Raw genomic sequence first — 2,897 nt, 5'->3', positions numbered from 1 at the left:
AGGAGGGATAGCATTAGGAGAAATACTTAATGTAAATGGTGAATTCATGGGTACAGCAAACCAACATGGCACATGTATACATATGTAACAAACCTGCACGTTGTGCACATGTACCCTAGAACTTAAAGTATAATAAAAATAATAAAAAATAAAATAAAAGAAAAATAAAGATACTGGTGTCATTAGCTGGGTAGGGAACAATGAAAAATACTGGAGGCTTAAGATCATTAATTTGCTCCACACCAAGATGCCACCATAGAAGGGATCCATTAGACTGGGCATGGTGGCTCATGCCTGTAATTCCAACACTTTGGGAGGCTGAGCTGGGAGAATCACCTAAGGTTAGAAGTTCAAGAGCAGACTGGCTAAAATGGTGGAACTCCATCTCTACTAAAAATACAAAAATTAGCCAGGCATGTTGGTGCACACCTGTAATCACATCTACTCAGGAGGCTGACTCAGGGAAATTGCTAAAACACAGGAGGTGGAGGTCACAGTGAGCTGAAGTTCACGGTGAGCTGAGATCATGGCACTGCAGTCTAGCCTGGGTGACAAAGTGAGACTCTATCTTAAAAGTAAGTAGGTAAATAGAGATCCATTGTGTGTGTGTGTGTGTGTGTGTGTGTGTGTGTGTGTGTGTGTTTGCGAACATGCGCACGCTCCTTGGAGGTTTATTTCTATTTTTTGTGCTTTGTGATGAAACGGTTAGTTCAGGTGAAGACCTTTTTATTGAAATTGGACCCAATAGGATAAAACCCTATTAATAATTTTTAATGTCAATATTAATCTCTGAATCACAAAATGATTTCGGTTAGCTCAGTGTGACAGCATATCATTAATTATAACTCCAAAATGTGCCTGGGGTAGATATTATCAGGACTAGGATGAGAAGTACCATCTAGCCCAATTAAGAATGTGTGAAAATTTAAGTTTGTTAAAAGCCACTGAAGGCCAGTAGCTTATGCCTGCAATATCAGCGTTTTGGGAGGTGGAGGCAGGTGCATCACTTGAGGTCAGGAGTTTGTGAGATTAGCATGACAAACATGGTGAAACCCCATCTGTACTAAAAATACAAAAATCAGCCAGGCTTGGTGCTGTGTGCCTATAATTCCAGCTACTCAGGAGGCTGAGGCAAAAGAATTGCTTGAGCCTGGGAGGTAAAAGTTGCAGTGAGCCAAGATTGTGCCACTACACTCCAGCTTGTGCTCAGAGTTAGTGAGATTCCATCTCAAAAATAAAAAAATAAAAAAAACAAAACAAGAGAGCCACTTCTAATTCCACTGTATATAAATTATTACCAGCAGAAGTAACTGGACTTTACTTTATCTTTCCTACAAGCCTGGCTTAGAACAAGGTGTTTATAAAGAGGTTTCAAAAACTGAAACAGAGTCATTGGCAAAAAAAGTAGTTAAAATTAGAGTACACTCATGATTTGGCTCTCTGTCTGTTATTGATGTATAAGAATGCTTGTGATTTTTGCACATTGATTTTGTGTCCTGAGACTTTGTTGAAGTTGCCTATCAGCTTAAGGAGATTTGGGGCTGAGACGATAGGGTTTTCTAGATATACAATCATGTCGTCTGCAAACAGGACAATTTGACTTCCTCTTTTCCTAATTGAATACCCTTTATTTCCTTCTCCTGCCTAATTGCACTGGCCAGAACTTCCAACACTATGTTGAATAGGAGTGGTGAGAGAGGGCATCTCTGTCTTGTGCCAGTTTTCAAAGGGAACGCTTCCAGTTTTTGCCCACTCACTATGATATTGGCTGTGGGTTTGTCATAGATAGCTCTTATTATTTTGAGATATGTCCCATCAATACCTAATTTATTGAGAGTTTTTAGCATCAAGGTTGTTGAATTTTTTCAAAGGCCTTTTCTGCATCTATTGAGATAAACTATGGTTTTTGCCATTGGTTCTGGTTATATGCTGGATTACATTTATTGATTTGTGTATGTTGAACAAGCCTTGCGTTCCAGGGATGGATCCCTCTTGATCATGGTGGAGAAGCTTCTTGATGTGCTGCTGGATTTGGTTTGCTAGTATTTTATTGAGGATTTTTGCATTGATGTTCATCAGGGATAGGAATCCAACTTAAAAGGGATGTGAAGGACCTCTTCAAGGAGAACTACAAACCACTGCTCAATGAAATAAAAGAGGATACAAACAAATGGAAGAAGATTACATGCTCATGGGTAGGAAGAATCAATATCATGAAAGTGGCCATAGTGCCCAAGGTAATTTATAGATTCAATGCCATCACCATCAAGCTATCAATGACTTTCTTCACAGAATTGGAAAAACTACTTTAAAGTTCATATGGAACCAAAAATAGTCCACATTGACAAGTCAACCCTAAGCCAAAAGAACAAATCTGGAGGCATCACACTACCTGACTTCAAACTATACTACAAGGCTACAGTAACCAAAACAGCATGGTACTGGTACCAAAACAGAGGTATAGACAAATGGAACAGAACAGAGCCCTAAGAAATAATGCCACATATCTACAACCATCTGATCTTTGACAAACCTGACAAAAACAGGAAATGGAGAAAGGATTCCCTATTTAATAAATGGTTCTGGGAAAACTGGCTAGCCATATGTAGAAAGCTGAATCTGGATCCTTTCCTTACACTTATACAAAAATTAATTCAAGATGGATTAAAGACTTACATGTTAGACCTAAAACCATAAAAACCCTAGAAGAAAACCTAGGCAATACCATTCAGGACATAGGCATTGGCAAGGACTTCATGTCTAAAACACCAAAAGCAATGGCAACAAAAGCCAAAATTGACAAATGGGATCTAACTAAACTAAAGAGCTTCTGTACAGCAAAAGAAACTACCATCAGAGTGAACAGGCAGCCTACAGAATGGGAGAAAATTTTTGCA

The sequence above is a fragment of the Homo sapiens genome, chromosome Y, assembly GCF_000001405.40.
Source record: "Homo sapiens chromosome Y, GRCh38.p14 Primary Assembly".
NCBI classification, from domain to species: domain Eukaryota; kingdom Metazoa; phylum Chordata; class Mammalia; order Primates; family Hominidae; genus Homo; species Homo sapiens.
This window is presented reverse-complemented; position numbering follows the sequence as displayed.